The 21,333-nt window shown below is 39.7% G+C and overlaps 3 annotated features.

Moving 5' to 3' along the window:
- Positions 14,626 to 15,825: an enhancer, noted in NCBI's record as "CDK7 strongly-dependent group 2 enhancer chr5:36417632-36418831 (GRCh37/hg19 assembly coordinates)". NCBI's record gives its function as "activates an origin of replication core promoter dependent on BRD2, BRD4, P300/CBP, MED14 and CDK7 cofactors, with strong dependence on CDK7, by STARR-seq in HCT116 cells {active_cell/tissue: HCT116}" and the evidence as "EXISTENCE:reporter gene assay evidence [ECO:0000049][PMID:35650434]".
- Positions 16,603 to 16,897: a silencer, noted in NCBI's record as "tiled region #12809; K562 Repressive DNase matched - State 8:EnhW". NCBI's record gives its function as "represses a minimal TATA promoter and a strong SV40 promoter by Sharpr-MPRA in K562 cells {active_cell/tissue: K562}" and the evidence as "EXISTENCE:reporter gene assay evidence [ECO:0000049][PMID:27701403]".
- Positions 19,730 to 20,929: an enhancer, noted in NCBI's record as "CDK7 strongly-dependent group 2 enhancer chr5:36422736-36423935 (GRCh37/hg19 assembly coordinates)". NCBI's record gives its function as "activates an origin of replication core promoter dependent on BRD2, BRD4, P300/CBP, MED14 and CDK7 cofactors, with strong dependence on CDK7, by STARR-seq in HCT116 cells {active_cell/tissue: HCT116}" and the evidence as "EXISTENCE:reporter gene assay evidence [ECO:0000049][PMID:35650434]".

Consider the following 21,333-nt stretch of genomic DNA (forward strand, 5'->3'; position numbering starts at 1 on the left):
CTCAGCCTCTATGGTCTTGCACCTGATTAAAATAAACAGAAGCCACCAGACAGATCACTAAGAAGGTAGAAGTTCACGAACAAAACAGCTGGTGTATTTGAGCAAATATTTTTTTTTGTTTGACAAAGTTCCGCTCTTGTTGCCCAGGTTGGGGTGCAATGGCGCGATCTCAGCTCACTGCAATATCTGCCTCCCTGGTTCAAGCGATTCTCCTGCCTCAGCCTCCCGAGTAGCTTGGATTACAGGCACCCGCCACCACGCCCAGCTAACATGCCCAGTTAATTTTTGTTATTTTTAGTAGAGTCAGAGTCTCGCCGTGTTGGCCAGGCTGGTCTTGAACTTCTGACCTCGGGTGATCCACCCACCTTGGCCTCCCAAAGTGCTGGGGATTACAGGCGTGAGCCACTGTGCCCGGCCACATTTTATTCTTTTAATTTCAACTGTTTTATTAAAACTCAGACCACCCTTATCTGGTGAACTGCTTGATCCTACCCAGCAGGTGAAAGGATCAGAGAAAATAACAACCAATCAATAGATGTCAGCAGGCAGTCTCATTCCCAAACAAGATAAAAGACCATGGACTCTGATCTCAAACCAAAATATTTACATATCTCGTTGAGGACATTATCGGCAGTTTGGAGGGGACATTATGGTGTAGACAACAAGAAAAATCACCGAAGGAAGTTGGGAATAGCCTGGGCTAGAAAAGGATGAGCTAACGTGTTGGGGTTAGGAATCTCCAGCTCTGATTTCTTAAGCAGCCATTGGAATAAGAAACTGGGCAAATTCCCAACAGGGTGGGGCAATCCCCCTGATCCCAGCCCATTGGGAAAAGGGCCTAATTCTGCTTCTCCCTTCCCATTCCCCAGCAGCAACATAAAAAAGCACAAAATGTCTCAGTGCTCTGGAATTTCTTCACTCAGATGACCCTGGGTGGATTTTGCATCAAAAACACAGATTTATGAAAGAGCAAATTATTTGTGAAAAATTCTTCACTTTAGAGGAAGAACTGTAGAGCATCACCACAGGCTTATTCATGACTACATTTGAAAAATATGATTCTAGGTCAGAGATTCTGGTATACCCATAGATTTTCAGGAACATATCTTCTGCATTAGAGAAACATTCTGCAAAAAATGTCCATCAGGCCCAAGCAGTTTCAGCAGCCGAGTAGCCCATCTGGGAAACAACTCCGGAACCCCTTCAGACAAACCCGCCAAGGCTGGGTGACTTGGCAGTCCCTGAGCCCCTGCCAGCTCATTTGTGGTCTGTATTTTTCACAGATGCTCCCTGGTGTGTAGCAATTTCCGGATATTTTTCAAATGGTTTTTATCCTGCCAGCTGGGTGCAGTGGAGGGACTACAGCTTGGACAACTCAGCCGGATGGACCCATCAAATTCAGCTTGCCAGCCCGGTTAGGATTAGACTGCATTGTTTGCGCCTTGCCCTGAGGTTGGCACCTATCCCCCTATCCTGTTGATTTCCATCCCTACTCCTTCCACTTCCCTAGTGCTCTTGGCCCCTGTTATGAGACGACTAGCCTGTCATCCTACCCCTATGAAAACCTCCTTCCCAGGTGGACACCATTAATGTGCAGGCAATGTAGTGGAGGGAGAACAATATTCTAAGAGTAGGAAAATGTGAGCTAGACCCAGTTCTGCTAGTAATTAGCTCCATGGCCTTGGTCAAGTTGTGTAACTTCTCTGGGTCTCATTTTCCTTTCTGATAAAATGAAGGCCCCCATCACTACTTTCAAGTAAGGCCTTTACCAAGTCATCCAAGTTGTTCCAGTAAGTTGCACATCTGACAACGGCCCATCCCTTACCACCTCCTCTAAATATGTTTTCTGAGATATTTCAGAAAATAAGATTTTAGAAGGAAAGCTGTATTAGTTGCACAAACCTACTTCAGTGACAGGCTAGGATTGAACATTAAAATTTGAAAGAAGACATGAATTCCCTTATTAATGCTGCTTAGGGGAAGAAGAGGCTGAAGGAAGGCAGCTTCTATAAAAATCAATGGTGAACTGGAATTTATCACCTCTGTGTGAGTCTGACCTCTCAGGACTTTTTCTCTAGAATCCCAGGATCCTAAGTAATGAATAATGAATCTAAACATGCCTTCCATGACCTTGAGGATATGCAAACATGAAATTTTGAAAAAAGAATAAAAGAAAGAAGAAAAATTCTGGAAAGTTTAACTTCATTTCTATTATCATACTCAAAATGAAAGTAATGTTTTCTCCAATTATAAAAATAATATAGAAATCTGGAGACTACCAAAAAATATAAAGCATAAAACAAAATCACTCATAATAGAGATAACCACTGGCAATGTTATGGCTGTTTCCTTTCACCCTTTTTGATCTGGACACTATCGAAACAGTTTCCTTCATGATTTTGAAGCATCAGTCTCATTTTAAATTCTCCTGGCTCATAGAAATCGCTGAATCCCACAGAATTCCAAGTACCAATACTACTTTTGGTTTCCTTTTCCATATTTCACTCTGACCCGAAATGAAAAATAATGCTGGCCAGACACGGTGGCTCACGCCTGTAACCCCAGCACTTTGGGAGGCCAAGGCGGGCAGATCACCTGAGGTCAGGAGTTCGAGATCAGCCTGGGCAATATGGCGAAACCCCATCTCTACTGAAAATACAAAAAATTAGCTGGGCGTGGTGACACATGCCTGTAATCCCAGCTACTCAGAAGGCTGAGGCAGGAGAATTGCTTGAACCCAGGAAGCAGAGGTTGCAATGAGCCAAGATTGGGTCATTGCACTCCAGCCTGGGCAACAAGAGCAAAATGTTGCCTCGGAGAAAAAAAAAAAAAAAGAAAAGAAAAGAAAAGAAAAATAATGCTAACAGGTGACTATTTCAATATGTGGTACAACTGGGACTCAATATGGATGTTTGCTGCTGCTTAGCGTTTATAAACAAGCCTTTGTCAGTGTCTCTGTTTCAGTAGGGAGTACAAGGCACATTTTTCTAATATGCACATTTTGCTCCTCTGTTTTAAATTCTTCAACGGCTTCCTATTGCCCTTTCGATAAAATTCACACTCCTGCAGAAGACTCACAGAGGCCATCATAATTAGACCCCTGATCCTCTCTCTGGTCTTGGCTTGCACCCCTTTCTCCCACACTCTCTGCTCCAGCAATACTGGTCCTCTGCCCAGGCTGTTACTCTCCCTGTAGCATTCTTCCTCTTCCCATTGTCTGGCTAATTTCTTATTTATCCATCAGAACAGGTTTTTGATATGCCCCCACCTTGTATTCCTCCCATATGAGCACTTGTTGCATTTTATTGCTGTGGTGTATTTCTTGCCTTTCCTACTAAACTCTACATGCCCTGGGAGTAATGACTATCTGTTTTGCTGTCCGGTGTACTCCCATCACTAAGCATGGGCTTTTTGCAAAGTGAGTATTCAATAAACACTTGTTGAATGTGTTAAAAAATAATAAGTGAAAGGCATTGTTAATTCACATTAACAAGAAAGCTTTTCAAGAGAATATATACACATATTATTAATATTATCTTTCACAGTGGGAGATTTTATAAGTGGTCAGTGCTGAAGAGGGAGAAATATACTTGTGCTGTTTTATGAAAAAGGGCAGTGGTTTTGGAAGTTCAGATTAAAACTTTTGTATAGATTTTGTAACTGATGCTGCTACTTTTAAATTTCTCCAGAGTAGGCTAGGAACTACAGAGATGATCTGTGTCCTACAACCCCAGAGAGCACCATTCATAATGCGTTCTACCATGTTACTCCAAAGATAGGTAGCAGAAGCAACCTCTGGCATTAATACCACAAGGCCCTACAATGCAGGTTTCCTTAGTAGCACTAAAACCTGATAATGATAAGCCATATATGCAGTACATTTTCAGTGAGCAGACAAATGGGGAACTGAGGCTCAACTGAAAGCAGCAGGAAATTCAAAGGTATTTATATTTAGTACACTAAACATTTTTCTATGGATGCAGCAACCAAGTCTGTCTTTATAACAATAGGAAAGGGCTCGCATTCTCTGCAGTAGTTCCTTTCCTTCATGGGTGGGCAAGGGGATTCCCAGAAGAAATGGGAGTAGTGAAGGCCAGTTATTATTAATGGGATATAGGATCTGCCTACCTCCTACATACGATGCAGCAGTCCACTTTTCAGCCAGGCCAACACTCTTACTACTTTCCGAAAATGTAATAGGAAAGAGGGAAAGGATATCCCATATCCCAACTTCCTAAGGGAGGACAATTTAATCATTCTGTTATATTTCTGATAGCTATAATTATTTTTAATGAGCCACATATTATATGAAACTAAATCACAGTTCTGGTTTATTTTATTAAAATGTAAAAAAAATTCCTTCTTTTATCATTATAGAAAATAAAACCATGAAGAACCACACCTCAAGGAGAGACTTACCCCCTCCACATTCATCTGAGACCCCATGACCATTCCTTTCATGCTCTGCTTATGCTGTTCTTACCCACGCCATGCTTATTCCCAACTCCAAGTCATTGCTCATGCTGACCAGAAGAAATTACTTTTCTTCTTCCTTTCACACAGTTGCAAATTCAGCCTACCCCATGAGGACCAATTTCTTTACTGCCTTCATTCTAAGACCTTCCCCAATACCTCCAAACCACACTGCTCTGCCATTTCCCAGACATTCTTTTGCACTTATAACCAGCATTATTCATTTTGGTGATTAATCACACTCTGCTTTGCAATGTCTCTTGGCTATTCTCAATGTCTCTCCTGACTCCCCAATGGATCTCTAAGTTCCTGGAAGGATGAAGCTGTAACTCATACTCCTTTGTATTTTTATTATAGTATTAGCCACATAAAAGATGTTGAAAGATACGACAAATGGTTGAAACCGTCATGAAACTAACAGTGAACAAAAAGGTAGACCACAGTGGTAAAATTCATAATGTTTAATGGTAGCCAATTAAGAAAGAATTTATGTAACAACACATAGACTAAAGAGAAACCAGCACATTCATTTTAATTTAAGATAAATTTTTTATAATCCAAAAGACTGGATTAAAATGAAATGACCACATACCTCAACGTAATAACAGCCATATATGACAGACCCATAGCTAGTATCATACTGAATGCAGGAAAACTGAAAGCCTTTCTTCTAACATCTAGAACATGACAAGGATGCCCACTTTCACCACTGTTATTCAACATCCTGCTGGACATCCTAGCTAGAGCAATCAGACAACAGAAAGAAATTAATAGCATCCAAATTGGAAAAGAAGAAGTCAAATTATCCCTGTTTACAAATGATATGATCTCATATTTGAAAAAACCTAAAGACTCCACCAAAAAGCTATTAGAACTGATAAACAAATTCAGTAAATTTGCAGGATACAAAATCAACATAAAAAATCTGTAGCATTTTTATATGCTAACAGTGAACAATCTGAAAAATAAATCAAGAAAGTAATCTCATTTATAATAGCTACAAATAAAATATCTGGGAATAAACTTAATCAAAGAAGTGAAACATTTCTACAATAAAAATTGTAAAACATTACTTCAAGAAATTCAAGAAGACACACAAAAACATGAAAAGATATTCCATATTCATGGATTGGAAGAATCACTATTGTTAAAATGTCCATACTACCTGATATGGTTTGGCCATGTCCCCACCCAAATCACATCTTGAATTGTAGTTCCCTAATCTCCACGTGTCATGGGAGGGACCCGATGGAAGGTAATTGAATCATGGGGTTGGTTACCTCCATGCTGTTCTCATGATAGTGAGTTCTCACAAGATCTCATGGTTTTATAAAGGGCTTTTCCCCTGCTTTGCTCTGCACTTCTTGCTGCTGCCATGTGAAAAAGAACATGTTTGCTTCCCCTTCTGCCGTGATTGTAAGTTTCCTGAGGCCTCCCCAGCCATGCTGAACTGTGAGTCAATTAAGCCTCTGCCCTTTATAAATTACCCATTCTCACATATGTCTTTATTAGCAGCATGAGAGCAAACTAATACACTCCCCAAAAGCAAGCTATGGATTCACTGTAATCTCTATCAAAATACAAATAACATTCTTCAACAGAAATAGAAAAAATAACCTTAAAATTTATGTGGAACCATAAAAGATCCAGAATAGACAAAGCTATCCTAAGCAAAATGAACAAAACTGGAGGAATAACATTACCTGACTTCAAATTATACTGCAGAGTTATAGTAACCAAAACGACATGGCACTGGCATAAAAACAGACACATAAGCCAGTGGAACAAAATAGAGAATCCAGAAATAAATCCATATATCTGCGGTGAACTCATTTTCAACAAAGTTTCCAAGAATATACATTAGAGAAAGGACAGTCTCTTCCATAAATGCTGCTGGGAAAACTGGATATCCATATGCAGAAGAATTAAAGTAGGCCCCTCTCTCTTGCCATATACAAAAATCAAAACAAAACAGATTAACAACTTAAATCTGAAACTCTAATCTATGAAACTACTAAAAGAAAACAATGGGGAAACTCTCCCAGACAATGGAATGGGCAAAGACTTCTTGAGTAATACCCCACAGGTACAGGCAACCAAGGCAAAAATGGACAAATGGGATCATATCAAGTTAAAAAGCTTCTGCACAACAAAGGAAACAATCAACAAAGTAAAGCGACAACCTACAGAATGAGGGAAAATATTTGCAAACTACCCACCTGACAAGGGATTAATAACCAGAATATATAAGGAGCTCAAACAACTCTACAGGAAAAAAATCTAATAATCTAATTTTAAAATGAGCAAAAGATCTGAATAGACATTTCACAAAAGAAGACATGCAAATGGCAAACAAGAATACAAAAAGCTGCTCAACAACATTGATCATCAGAGAAATGCAAATCAAAGCTACAATGAGATATCATCTCACCCCAGTTAAAATGGCTTAGATCAAAAGAGAGGCAATAACAAATGCTTGTGAGGGTGTGGAGAAAAGGGAACACTGTTGGTGGAAATGTAAATTAGCACAACCACTATGGAGAATAGTTTGGAGGTGCCTCAGAAAAACTAAAAATAGAGCTACCATATGATCCAGGAAGCTCACTGCTAGATAGACACCTAAAAGAAAGGAAATCAGTATATTGAAGAGATATCTGCACTCTCATGTTTATTGCAGCACTATTCACAATAGCCAGCATTTGGAAGCCACCTAAGTGTGCATCAATGGACAAATAGATAAAGAAAATATGGTACATGTACACAATGGAGTACTATTTCACCACAAAAGAGAATGAGATCCTGTCATTTGCAACAACCTGAATAGAACCAAAGGTCATTATGTTAAGTGAAATAAGCCAGGCACAGAAAGACAAACATCATATGTTCTCACTTACCCATGGGTGCTTAAAATTAAAATAATTGAACTCATGGAGATTGAAAGTAAAAGGATGGTTACCAGATACTGGGAAGGGTACTCAGGAAGGAGTTGGGGCAAGAGGGGATGGTTAATGGGTAAAAAAAATAGTTAGAAAGAATAAATAAGTCCTAATATTTGCTAGCACAACAGGGTGACTATAGTCAATAGCAATGTACTTGTACATTTTTTAATACACCCCTCGGGTTGGTTTAATTATTTTCCCATAATATACCAGATATATTTCTTTTTCTTCACTTTTTTTTTTAATTATATGTTAAGTTCTGGGATACATGTGCAGAACGTGCAGGTTTGTTACATAGGTATACACGTCCCCTGGTGGTTTGCTGCACCCATTAACTGGTCATCGACATTAAGTCTTTCTCCTAATGCTATCCCTTCCCTAGACCCCCAACCCACAACATGCCCCAGTGTGTGATATTCCCCTCCCTGTGTCCATGTGTTCTCATTGTTCAACTCCCACTTGTGAGAACATGCAGTGTTTGGTTTTCTGTTCCTGTCTTAGTTTGCTGAGAATGATGGTTTCCAGCTTCATCCATGTCCCTGCAAAGGACGTGAACTCATCATTTTTTATGGCTGCATAGTATTCCACGGTGTATATGTGCCACAGTTTCTTTATCCAGTCTATCATTGATGTGCATTTGGGTTGGTTCCAAGTCTTTGCTATTGTGAACAGTGCCACAATAAACATACATGTGCATGTGTCTTTATAATAGACTATAATCCTTTGAGTAAACACCCAGTAATGGGATTGCTGGGTCAAATGGTATTTCTGGTTCTAGATCCTTGAGGAATCACCACACTGTCTTCCACAATGGTTGAACTAATTTACACTCCCACCAACAGTGTAAAAGTGTTCCTTTTTCTCCACATCCACTCCAGCATCTGTTGTTTCCTGACTTTTTAATGATCGCCATTCTAACTGTCGTGAGATGGTATCTTATTGTGGTTTTGATGTGCATTTCTCAAATGACCAGTGATGATGAGATTTTTTTCATGTTTATTGGCTGCATAAACACTTCTTTTGAGAAGTGTCTGTTTATATCCTTCTCCCACTTTTTGATTCTTTTTTTGTATACTCTAAGTTCTAGGGTACATGTGCACAACGTGTGGGTTTGTTACACAGGTATACATGTGCCATGTTGGTTTACTGCCCCCATCAACTGGTCATTTACATTAGGTATTTCTCCTAATGCTATCCCTCCCCCAGCTCTCCAGCCCCCGAGAGGCCCCGGTGTGTGATGTTCCCCACCCTGCGTCCATGTGTTCTCATTGTTCAATTCCCACCTATAAGTGAGAACATGTGGTGTTTGGTTTTCTGTCCTCATGATAGTTTGCTGAGAATGATGGTTTCCAGCTTCATCCATGTCCCTGCAAAGGACATGAACTCAACCTTTTTTATGGCTGCATAGTCTTCCATGGTGTATATGTGCCACATTTTCTTAATCCAGTCTATCATTGATGGACATTTGGGTTGGTTCCAAGTCTTTGCTATGGTGAATAGTACCACAATAAACATATGTGTGTATGTGTCTTTATAGTAGCATGATTTATAATCTTTTGGGTATATACCCAGTAATTGGATCTCTGGGTCAAATGGTATTTTTAGTTCTAGATCCTTGAGGAATCACCACACTGTCTTCCACAATGGTTGAACTAATTTACACTCCCACCAACAGTGTAAAAGTGTTCCTATTTCTCAACATCCTCTCCAGCATCTGTTGTTTCCTGACTTGTTAATGATCACCATTCTAACTGGCGTGAGATGGTATCTCATTGTGGTTTTGAGTTGCATTTCCCTGATGACCAGTGATGATGAGCATTTTTTCATACTTATACATTTTTAAATAATTAAATAATATAATTGGATTGTTTGAAACACAAAGGATAAATGTTTGAAGTGATGGATACCCTATTTAACCTGATGGGATTATTATGCATTGCATACCCGTATCAAAATACCTCATGTAACTTATAAATCTATACACCTATTATGTACCCATAAAAATTTTTTAAAATTTAACGAAAAAATAATACAGTACTAAAAAAAAAAAAGAAATAAAGAAAATAAATGAAATGACCAGACAGGTAGGAAGTGTGTTTTCTGGATTTGAGTGTGAAATTACTTATGAGCAATTGTTATTTAATTGATTTAAAGCACAACAAACCATTTGAATTATAAAAGGGATGCTTGATAAATCTCTTTACATAATTCAGTGTGGCCTGGAGTGCTCGTTGCTTCTACTTTTGAGTAATATTTCCAAATATTTAAGACACGTAGAGCAATTTTAACTGAATGAACATCTACAAAGAGCCTACATCTAACATCATAATTAATGGTAAGACACTAGAAGCTCTTCCGTTAAGATCAGGAACAAGGCAAGTATGTCCCCTCTCATCACTCCTTTTCAACATCATACTGAAAGTCCTAGCTAGTGCAATAACACTAGAAAAGGAAATAAAAATTACATTGAGTGGAATATGAAAACTCAAAATTGCCAACATGCCAGATCTTCCTTACTTGCTATAGCAGTCCCAAAGTCCCAGCAATTTCTTTTGTGGATATCAACCAACTGATTCTAAAGTTTACATGCAGAAGTGAAAGACCCAGAAGAAGCAAAAAAAAGAAAAAATTGGAGGAAAAAAAAAGACAGAGGACTGACACTACCAGATTTCAAGACTTACTATAAAGCTACAGTGATTAAGACACTGGGGTATTGAGGAAAGGATAGACAGATCAATGGAACAGAAGAGAGACCCCAGAAAGACAACACAATGGAACAAAGAGTATTTTCAACATAGAGTCAAACAACTGAACATTCACAAGGAATAAAAAGAATCTAGACATAGATTTTCCGCCCTTCACAAAAATAAATTCAAAATGAATCACAGACTTAAATGCAAAATCCAAAACTACAAAACTCCTAGAAGATAACATGGGAGAAAATCTTGATTACCTCAGGTATGGTGATGACTTTTTAGATACTTCAAAAGGCACAGTCCATGAAAGAAATAATTGATAAACTAGACTTTATTAAAATTAAAGACTTCTGCTCTTCAAAAGACACTCTCAAGGGAATGAGAAAGCGAGCAATAATTTTGGAGAAAATACAAAAGACATGCTGATGAAGGACTGATATCCAAAATATACACAGAATCCTTAAAACTCAACAATAAAAAACATGACAACCAAATTTAAAAATGGGCAACAGACCTGACAGTTGCCTCAACAAAGAAGATATACAGATGACAAATAAGCATATGAAAAGATGCTTTACATAGTATGTCATTAGGGAATTGCAAATTAAAACAACAGTGATATCACACTTATTAGAATAGCCAAAATGCAAACCACTGACAACCACCAAATGTCGACAAGGATGTCAAGCAAGAGGATCTTTCATTCATTGCTAATGAGAATGCAAAATGGTACAACCACTTTGGAAGGCAGTTTGATAGTTTCTCACAAAGCTAAACATATTGTCACTATACAATTCAGTAATCATGATCCTTAGTATTAACCCAAAGAAGTTGAAAACTTAATGTGTTTTTCCAAAAACCTGTATATGAGTGTTTATAGCAGCCTTATTAATAATTGCCAAAACTTAGAAGCAACCAAGATATCCTCTGGTAAGTGAATGAATACATAAATTATTGTCCATTCAGATAATGGAATATTATGAAGTACTAAAAAAGTAAGCTATCAAGCGATGAAAAGGCAAAAGGGAAGCATAAATGCATATTAATTGATAGAAGCCAATCTTAAAAGGTTACATAATGTATGATTCCAACTATTAAATACAAGACACTCTGAAAAAGGCAAAACTATAGACATAGTAAAAGGATCAGTGGTTAGCAGGGGTTAGGGAGGACAGAGGGGTGAATAGGCAGAGCACAGAGAATTTTTAGTGCACTGCATTAGTCTGTTTTCATGCTGCTGATAAAGACATACTTGAGATGGGGCAACTTACAAAAAAAAAGAGGTTGAATTGGACTTACAGTTCCATGTGGCTGGGGAAGCCTCACAATCATGGCGGAAGGCAAGGAGGAGCAAGTCACATGTCACATGGATGGCAGCAGGCAAAGAGCTCGTGCAGGAAATCTCCCCCTTGTATAATCATTGGACCTCATAAGACTTATTAACTATCACAAGAACAGCACAGGAAAGACCTGCCCCCATGATTCAATTACCTGCCACCAGGTCCCTCCCACAACACGTGGGAATTCAAGATGAGATTTGGGTGGGGACAGAGCCAAACCATATCAGGCAGTGCACCTGTCAGTATGATATTATACATGTCATTAGATATTTATAGAATCCACAGAATGTACGTTAAGAGTTAACACTAATGAAACTATGGTCTCTAAGAGATAATGATGTGGGTTCATTGATTGTAACAAATATGCCACTCTGATGAGGGGTGGTGACAATGGAGGAGGTTTTATGTATGAAGGGGCAGGGAGGATATGGAAATCTGTATACCTTCCACTCAATTTTGCTCTGAACCTAAAACTGAAAGCCTATTTTAAAAATCTGGAATAAAATTTTTTAAAATTGCATGTTAAACTCAAGAATTTTTTGAAAGTTTTCATATAAGAAAATGAACTATGTTCCTTGTGGTCTAATAAGAATATTATATTTCCTTCCTGAAGGTGGCGTTTGTGTACCATGGTCAAAGAATGCTTCCCTCATTTGTTAAGGGAAAAAAAAAAAAAAAAACCTTTCCCGGACAGTAAAACATCTCATAAAACTGTCATGAGTAATTCCAGCAGCTGAGCTGAAATGGACAGCTACTCAGAACACCTTTGCTTTTCCATGACAGGGGTGAGATTTTATAAATTAAGGTTATAGACTTACCTGCGAACACTGGGACCTATAACTCAATTTACAGATACCTTGAAGCTGAAAGAGTGTTTGCAGAGCCTACACTCTGGGATGTGTTACAGGCACAAGGAAGTTCATGAGCTAAGACAGGCCACTAAATCTAGCTAAGATGGCTCAACAAAAATGAGAGTTCTCAGGCCTGCGCAGAACCTGTGACCAAGTTGCTGTTAGCCATAAACACCTGCATTGTGGGAGCTATTTGAACTTGAGAGAAAAATCCCCTAATTAAAAGGCACCTAAGCCCAAATTCTGCATAACAATTTGCTCTGGAGCATGTTAAACTCACAGATTTCTGGACTTCAGATATCCTAATGTCAAGAGTGTCATCGGGGCACAGGAATCTACATTTAAGAAGCTTCCTAGGATGGACGATTACTCAGATATATAAATAGAACAAACTCCTGATATAAGCAGCAACATGAACAAATCTCAGAAACAAGATTCTGAGCAAAAGAAACCAGACACAAAAGGGTACACACTGTGTGTGTGTGTGTGTGTGTGTGTGTGCGCGCGCGCGTGCGCATATCTATATATACACACACATATACATAACATATAAAGTATGTGAGTATATATATTATATATATATATAAAGTTATAGAATGAATACAACTCACCAATAGTTATAGAAATCAGGTCAGTGGTTGTATAGGGCAGGAGGTTAGGTGGATTGACTGTAATGGGGCATAAGAGAACTTTCCAGTGTGATAGTAATATTCTACATTTTTATTGGAGTGGCAGCTACATGGGTGTATACATTTGTCAAAACTCATGTAACTGTACACTTAAACTATGTACATTTAATTGCACATAAATTGTACCTTGATAAAGCTGATTTAATAAAACAGACTTCCTAGGTGATTCAAACATACATCTGGGTTTGGGAGCCACTGATCCTTTGCTACTGGAGAATGACCAGATCATAAGTGCACTTGAGCCACACTGGGGCTCCTGTGTGGCATTTTTATTTCCATTGACAGAACTTCTGAGCCCCAGGGCACCTTCCAGACCAAGTTGTCTGACTTCTAGGTTTTCTATATGTGTTAGTCAGGGCTCTCTAGAAGGACAGAACTAATAAGATATGTGGATATCTGAAAGGGAGTTTATTCAGGAGAATTGACGCACACGATCACATGGTAAAGTCCCACCATAGGCCGTCTGCAAGTCGAGGAGCAAGGAAGCCAGTAGTGGATCCGTCTGAGTCCCAAAACCTCAAAAGTAGGGAAGCCGACAGTCCAGCCTTCAGTCTGTGGCAGAAGGCCCGAGAGCCCCTAGCAAACCACTGGAATAAGTCCAAGAGTCCAAAAGCTGGAGAACTTGGAGTCTGATGTTTGACAGCAGGAAGCATCCAGCACAGGAGAAAGACGAAGGCTGGAAGACTCAGCAAGTCTGCTCTTCCATCTTCTCCTGCCTGCTTTACTCTAGCTGTGCTGGCAGCTGATTAGATTAAGGCTGGGTCTACCTCTCCCAGCCCACTGACTCAAATGTTAATCTCCTTTGGCAACACCCTCACAGACACACCCAGAAACAATACTTTGCATCCTTCAATCCTAATCAAGTTGACACTCAATATTAACCATCACACTATATGCAAAACCTGAAGCTCAGAAAGGTTGAGAGACTTTTCCAAAGTCACACAGTAAAATACCAGCAGATATCAGATCTGAATTTCTGACAGCTTTTGCTATTCTCAGTATCACACTGCATCCAAAGGAAGAAGAATGAGAAGTGGAGAGCAGATGCTCCTTGCTCTGATTTTGCTCATTTACCCTTCATTACCATCTACAGGATGGAGCTACCTGGTTACCTGAGCCAAGGAAATAGAATACAGTCCAATTTTATAAGGAATGGCTGAAAGACTTTGGTTTCAGACTTGTTTATTTACTCATTCAACGAATAACTAACCAATATTTGTTGAGTGCTTTCCAGTCACAGTTTAAGGCACAAAAGCCAGTAGTGAATAAAACACACAAGATCTCTGCCTTCAAAGAGCCTATTATCATCAACAATAAAGAAATAAGCAAATACATGAACAAGAAAATTTCAGATGGTGGAAAGTGCTTGAAGAAAACAAACAAGGTAATTGATAGAATAACTGCAAAGGAGGGTCTATTTTAGCTGGGCTTTTCAGAACAGGCTGTGCTTGAGATAGTGACAGCGAGGAGCATGAAATATGGCTGGAGATGGTGGAGAGACTGAAGGCAGCTATCTCAAACACGTCAAGAGTTGTCATGTAGAGAAGTGTGCTTGCCTCATGCTGACTCAGAAGGTGAAGTGAGAAAAAATCTGAGTGCAAGACAGAGGTTGAATTCAGATCAGTTTAGGGAAGAACTTTCCAACCTAGAAGAAAAGGAATTAATATTTACTTGAAGCGTACTATGTCCTAGCTTCCTTATTTGTAATATTTTGTTTAATGCTTTAAAAAACTGTAGGTGGTAAGTGAAACAATATCTATTGGAAGGAGCGATCTCCCCCTCTCAAGAAGTATGCATGCTCCCTGGCTAAGATAGAGACAGATGAGTGAGGGGTTCCTTAACCTTGCGGATCCGTGCCCCTGCAGATGCTGCCCTAATTATGTCATAGAAACCAATGGAAAAAGGAAATCAGATTCCCCAGATTCCACCCCCGCCCTCGCCCCAGGTAGTGAAAAGTTAGTGAGACTTCTTGAAAAACAATAGGGTGTTTCCAGGTTAACTAAGCTTTAACCTTTAACCAAATTCTCAGGAAGGGCTTCCCTGAATATTCTCCCTGTGGAATGCAGCAGAATGGCACTCTAATGCCTCCCTCAAAGAGAAAGTGATAAGGCCATGAGCTGCTCTTGAGGATGAATACCAGCAGGAGTGGGAAGGGTGCTGAGCTACCTGTGACCTATAGAAACTCTGCCTGGCTCACTTCCCTTCATTAAGAGAAAATGTGCTTGATTCACTTCAGGAAAATGAGATTATTTATGAGAAAGAAGTACCCTTGATTGGAGGCTCTTAAACAAGTGGCTTTCCAGAGAGAACAGTTAAGTCTCCACCACAGACAGCCCTGGGAAGAAAAAGACAGCCCTAGATATTTTGGATAATTTGGGCATTGACCTTCCTGAGGACTAGTGCAAGGAATGAAGTAAATGAGCTCGATTCCTTTCATTCTGTGAGTCATAGCTTCGTCGAAATTACTCAATTGTTGATCCCACTTGGCTCCACATGGAAGGCAAAGTTCAAGCTATAGTACAGGTAGCAACATGATCCGTGTACAATTGTGCAAAACACAAAATTCCCATAGGCCAGGCACACTCCCATTGCCTTTGGATGGTGGCTCATGAAGATACAACCATGTCCTCTGTCTTTTGTCCTATCCTAAGTTGTTATCTCTTAGGCCATAAACTACTCAAAGGCCCAGTCTTCCCTTCTTTCTAGCACCATGCCTGGCAGAGAGAGAGACAAAAGGCACCTGATTAGTGTATGATAAACGAATAAAGTTTCATAAGTCCTACTTTTCAGATCCTAATAATAGCTCCCAGTGCCCGGGAGTATGCTGAACACTTTACAGGTATTACTGCATTTACTCCTTAAAACAACCCTGTGAAATGAGTACTATTGCCATCATTATTGTTTGAATCATCACTATTTTCACATGAAGAAAGATCTAGACTTGAAGCCACTATGCTATAATGCAGGTTGGTTTTTACCCTGTTGATGTGGGATGTGCCACAGGCAGCATGTGGCAAACCTGGAGACTGCTTTGTCCCAAACCAGAGTCAATGTCTCAACTTACACCATTGCCAGTTTCTTAGTAATTTGGGCACTACGTGGGTAGAGGTGACACTGTTGAATAGAGAGAAAAAAGCCAAAAGGCAGGAGTAACTTTTCTGCCTCTGATTTTCCCTTGCTCTTCTCTGTTTTCCAGTGCTACCAAGGGGCATACAGACTGAAATCTCCATATTAAAGTGAATCCACAACTTGTAATAACCAGTGTGTGGGGGAGTCTAGGATGGCAGACTAGGGTTTTGATATCTAATAGCAAAAGATTTTTTGCTTCTAACTTGATAAGGTGTGAAGACTTTTAGCACTTTATATATGAAGCCTACATCTCAATTTATTTTTAAAGTGTGACCATTTCAGAGTTTACTAAGTGCTAGACACCATGCCAAACCCATTCGGTGCATTATCTCAATTAATTCTCAGGACAACAAACAGCCCTACCAATTTAAATTGTTTTCCTTTAGCTTCAATGTAACGTATTGGCCTGTGGGGAAATGAGCAGGTAGTGGTGACAGCTAAGGGCTGGGCACTCAGCTACAGACAGGTGGAATAAATTTAAAAGTTTTGGCAGGTGATTTTCATCAAACAATGCAAAAAGAACTGTCTCCTTGACAACCTGCATGTCCGTCTTGGTCAACTCCTGATGAACCAAGACAGTCACAGGACTTCAGAACCCTATGCAGCCATGGGGAGGAACCACACTTGGTTCTGAGCTAGCAAATCTTTCACCTCAAAGAGTGCATAACCCAAGAGAGAGATAAGTTATCTGTTTTACAGCAGGAAACACACACACACACACACACACACACACACACACACACACAGATCTGGGTTTCAGTTTCATCTTTAAAAACTAGGGTTCCTGAACTTCTTCATCAGGCAAAGCCATCACAAACCTACAGACCACCTTTTCTTGAATTAGAAGAAGACACCCCTTTTGAGAAAACTTAGTGAGTTTGGTGCAGTGCTTGGTGAGCAGACTGTAACGCTTGTGTCCTTTGCTCCAGGATCACGCAGCTCTGTGCCACAGTCCATATCTCAGTGAAAAAAAGCACAGGTCTGTATTTCATTTCTGACTTGTCCTGTTGGCAGACACCCCCAAACAACCTGCATAAGTGTATGCAACAGGGCCACCATCAGGAACAATGTGAATGTCCCAAAGTGACAGTCCGGGGCCCCAGCCCACCCACAGATGGGTTTTGTTATCCCTAATGATGTTTGAAAGAATTTGAATTGCTTGTCAACCTTAAAAATTAGGAGATTTCATACAAAATCTAGAGTTCAAGCTTTTCTTGAAAAATGAGATCTGGGCACACTGGCTCTACATTCCTGCATTGCAAATTAAATTGGAGCTAAGCAGTGCTGCCTATTTATGTATGTACTTAAAAATTTTTATAGTATATTTTAGATTTCATTCTCCATTAGCATATAAAAAGCTACCATTTTATTTTTATTATTATTATTTGTATCAGGTTTTTAAATAGATGGTCCTTGTGTTTGGCATAAAATCTAAAAGATATGAAATGGTCTATACACACTGTTCCCCAGTTCCCCAGATGCAACTGCTCCAACCATTCTTATGTGTCCTTTCAAAGGTATTGCATCCACACACTACAAAAACATATGCAGTATTTCTAAGACACCATCAATTGCAAGATGCACCATTATTTTGTGTTCACTAAGAAAAAAAATTCCAATAAAATCATGACATTGTGCCTTAATGATGGTCCTGCCTGATCCATACATCAGTCAAGTCAGCCCCTCATTGCTTTGAAATTTGTTTCATCTATTCTAAGGGGCTGGACATTTTTCCTGCCTTCTGTTGGACCACTTGGAGTATGGCAGCCAATCCTTTTACATGTATCTCAGTAAGAAAATGTAACATGGGGCCGGGCGCGGTGGCTCATGCCTCTAATTCCAGCACTTTGGGAGGCCGAAGCGGGTGGATCACGAGGTCAGGAGATTGAGACCATCCTGGCCAACATGGTGAAACCCCGTCTCTACTAAAAATACAAAAATTAGCTGGGCATGGTGGCACGTGCCTGTAATCCCAGCTACTTGGGAGGCTGAGGCAGGAAAATCTCTTGAACCAGGGAGTCAGAGGTTGCAGTGAGCCGAGATCGCACCACTGCACTCCAGCCTGGCAACAGAATGAGACTCCATCTCAAAAAAAATAAAGAAAATGTAACATGGCTTTATCTACTTGTGGATATCTTCATTTCGTAGGTCTTAAAAAAGACTTAGTTGTTGCTTTGATAGATATGTAATTGATTGATGATATAAATTGATTAAATTGATTCCCTGAATTTATTTTGGTGTAAAAAGTAAGGTACGCATCTATTTTTTCTAGCAGCTGCTTTCAGTTTACTACAGTTCCCTTCCACTTTCAACTGTCTTACCTTAGAGAGCTTCACTTGTGTTACTTGTTTGGCACCCTAATAGACATTTGAGTTTATAACACCTGGACTATTGGACAAATGGCTGGACAATGCAATTAGCAATCTTACTGGTAGTCCACTTGCTATGAGAGGTGGTGTGGTTTCAGCACAGGAAGCAAAGTCCTCTAAATAAGACCTATATAGCTATGCACATGCTTTCAACTGGGAGAGCCCTTTAGGAGCCAGCACATGGCTAGTGTTGCTGGGGTTACCTTACCTGGGGGCTTCTAACTTCTGGCTTGATTCATCTCCCTCCTTCTTTTAGATGATGTGTCTACATCACCGGTAGGCAATGTAAGGAAAGCAAGTAAGATTCGTATCAATACAAGACAACCTAATAAAAAGCAAAGCTAAAATTGAAGCCTGGGAATAGGCTTCTGCATTTACATTAAATATGTGATAATTTTGGTGCAAATTGACATGGTTGTTCTAAGACAGACACATCTTAAAGTATGCCTTGTACTCAGAAGATGTGCAGTAGACAAATTTTAGAGGTGTGAGTTCTGGGCCTTCCTCTACTAGGGTACCTTGTGCCTCTTTGAATAAGCTTGTCTCTGACACTTCGCTTATTGGCCTATTCTATGTAGAGATGGTTTAGACCAGAATCTAGATCTAGGATCTAAAGTTCTTTGAACAACAGATGTCTTTGAAATACACGTAATTTAATATAAACTTTCAGAGCATTCACAGGCTCCCTGATGTCCATCTATTCATTTCTATACATGACTGTCCAACGCTTGCCTTTATACACATTCTAAGTTTCACTTATTTTTTCTTGTGTCACTGTCACAGAGACAACATTTAACAGTGCTTAGCGGCTGCACATTAAAGATATTTTTCAATCTTCTATTCCTTGAGAGAGTAATAACCAAACAGTCTTGTAGAGGATATTCATGGCCCTGGCATCTGATATTAGGGCACAAACACCTTCCACTTACAGAGCAAATATGCCAGATACTCACTTTCCTAGCACCTTTGCAGCTAGGGCCTGAATCTCAGTTTTGTTTCTGCCCTGGATTTAGAATTGGAAACTGGTAACACAAAGGAGCAAGACCACTCGCAAGATGTCCTGGCGAACGTGGCCACAGTGACAACATCTCCCATCTGCCTCCGGAGGCTGCAGTGGTGGCTGTTTTGATAGCAGTGCCCAGTGTGCATTAGAGATGTTAGCTGTACAGTCTGCAGCATGTGGGCCCAATTCCAGGGACCGTGGTCTCTTTGAGGGAGAGGTTTACTGTGGCATTTTGAGCATTGTCCTTGGCTGATTCTCTGGCCCAACTCAAGATTCTGCAAGTTACCAATATCCTTTCATAAATTCCTTTTCTGCTTAAATTAGCTACAAGCGGTTTCTATTGCTTACAACTGAAAAGCTGGGTGACACAAACATCACCCTTCTTAAATGGATACAATGACAGAAATTATTTTTCAAAAAAGTACTTCTTGAAAAGTTAGCTGTCACGGTAATTTGGGAGAAGGGGAACAGAATGCTGAAATGTACAACTTAATGTAACTATTTTACTCTACTTCCCTTTAGCACCTTAAGAAACTGGCAAAAGTAACAGCAACAAGGATAATATTAAATAATGAGAAATCCCTTGAGCGATTCTTCCACTATTCCATCAGTTACTTTGACGGATTTAATGATGCATTTATTTATGCTTCATCAAGCAGTTGGAATTTGTCAACAAAACAGTATGCATAAGTCATACGTACTTTTTTGAATGCCTATTATGTGTCATTATCACTGCTAGATGTTGGGGCTGATTCATAGAAGAAAGAGATTGGTTTTCCCTTTGAAGTAAGCAAGAAAGTTTAACATAATGCTGTAAGTGTTACAAGAGTGCAGCAGGAAGAAACAACAAGTTCAGCCTATTTTGGGTAATCAGAGAAAAATGTTTATCATCTGGGTTGTACTTTTTTCAATAGACTGAAGTGTGGTCAGGTTGTGTCTCTGAGAGTGTGTGAGGTTTCCAAGGCAATAAATAGTGGGAAATGGAATTTTATCTTTGTTATTCTAAAAAGCCACTGTAATGTTTGTGCAAAGTTTTCTTAGTGCTCCCTAAGTTTTCCTGTTCCAAAGGGACTAAAGAATTTTTGTTTAGGCTCTAGCAAGCCTAAATTCTGTTGGATTTGATTGTTGTGCCCTCCCAAAGAAGTGGCATGAGTCCCAACAATTTGGAAATGTTCAGCCTGTTTTGTTTTGTGCACCACTGCCTTGATCCATGGTAAGAACTTACCTGGAAAGCAGGTGTTCGCTCAGGTCTGATGGGGCTATAGGACAGATTTGATAAGGCTACTGATGGGACAGAAGCTCTGCTGTCACAGGAGGCTTGCATAAATCTTGCTGCTTTGAGGGGTTGAGGGAAGCTGTGTGTAGGGAGAGAAGGCAGTTAGTTCGCCAGCAGTTCTGTCACCAGGGCCACCTAAAGAAGGAAGCAGGCATTTGCGGTAATAAGGTGAAATGTTTATAGTCTTGTTTCTGACCATAACCACATTGAAAGCTTTTCCTGGAGAATCAAGCAGAAAACTTCTCAGGCCTCAATCCTCATCTCCTGTATTTCCCATGCCAAATATTGCTTCAATTTTTCAGGAATGACTTTACTCTACTATGAAAAAAAAAATCCCAAGGAAATAAGAGAAACTTGTGAACAAAACCTGCAACAAGGGATCCTGCTGCTAAGAGAGTTAAAAAGAAAATACAACTGTTCTGAGAGTTCAATTTAAGATCAGTGTTTGGAATGAAAAGCACATTTTTGCACAGCAGCCTAGTTATAAATGGTGATGGGGTTCCCAGATGGGCCAAAAAAGGACTACTTAACTCACAATGTTACTGTAAAATCAATCATCTTGTCTTAG

Source organism: Homo sapiens, chromosome 5 (assembly GCF_000001405.40).
Source record: "Homo sapiens chromosome 5, GRCh38.p14 Primary Assembly".
Classification (NCBI taxonomy): Eukaryota; Metazoa; Chordata; class Mammalia; order Primates; family Hominidae; genus Homo; species Homo sapiens.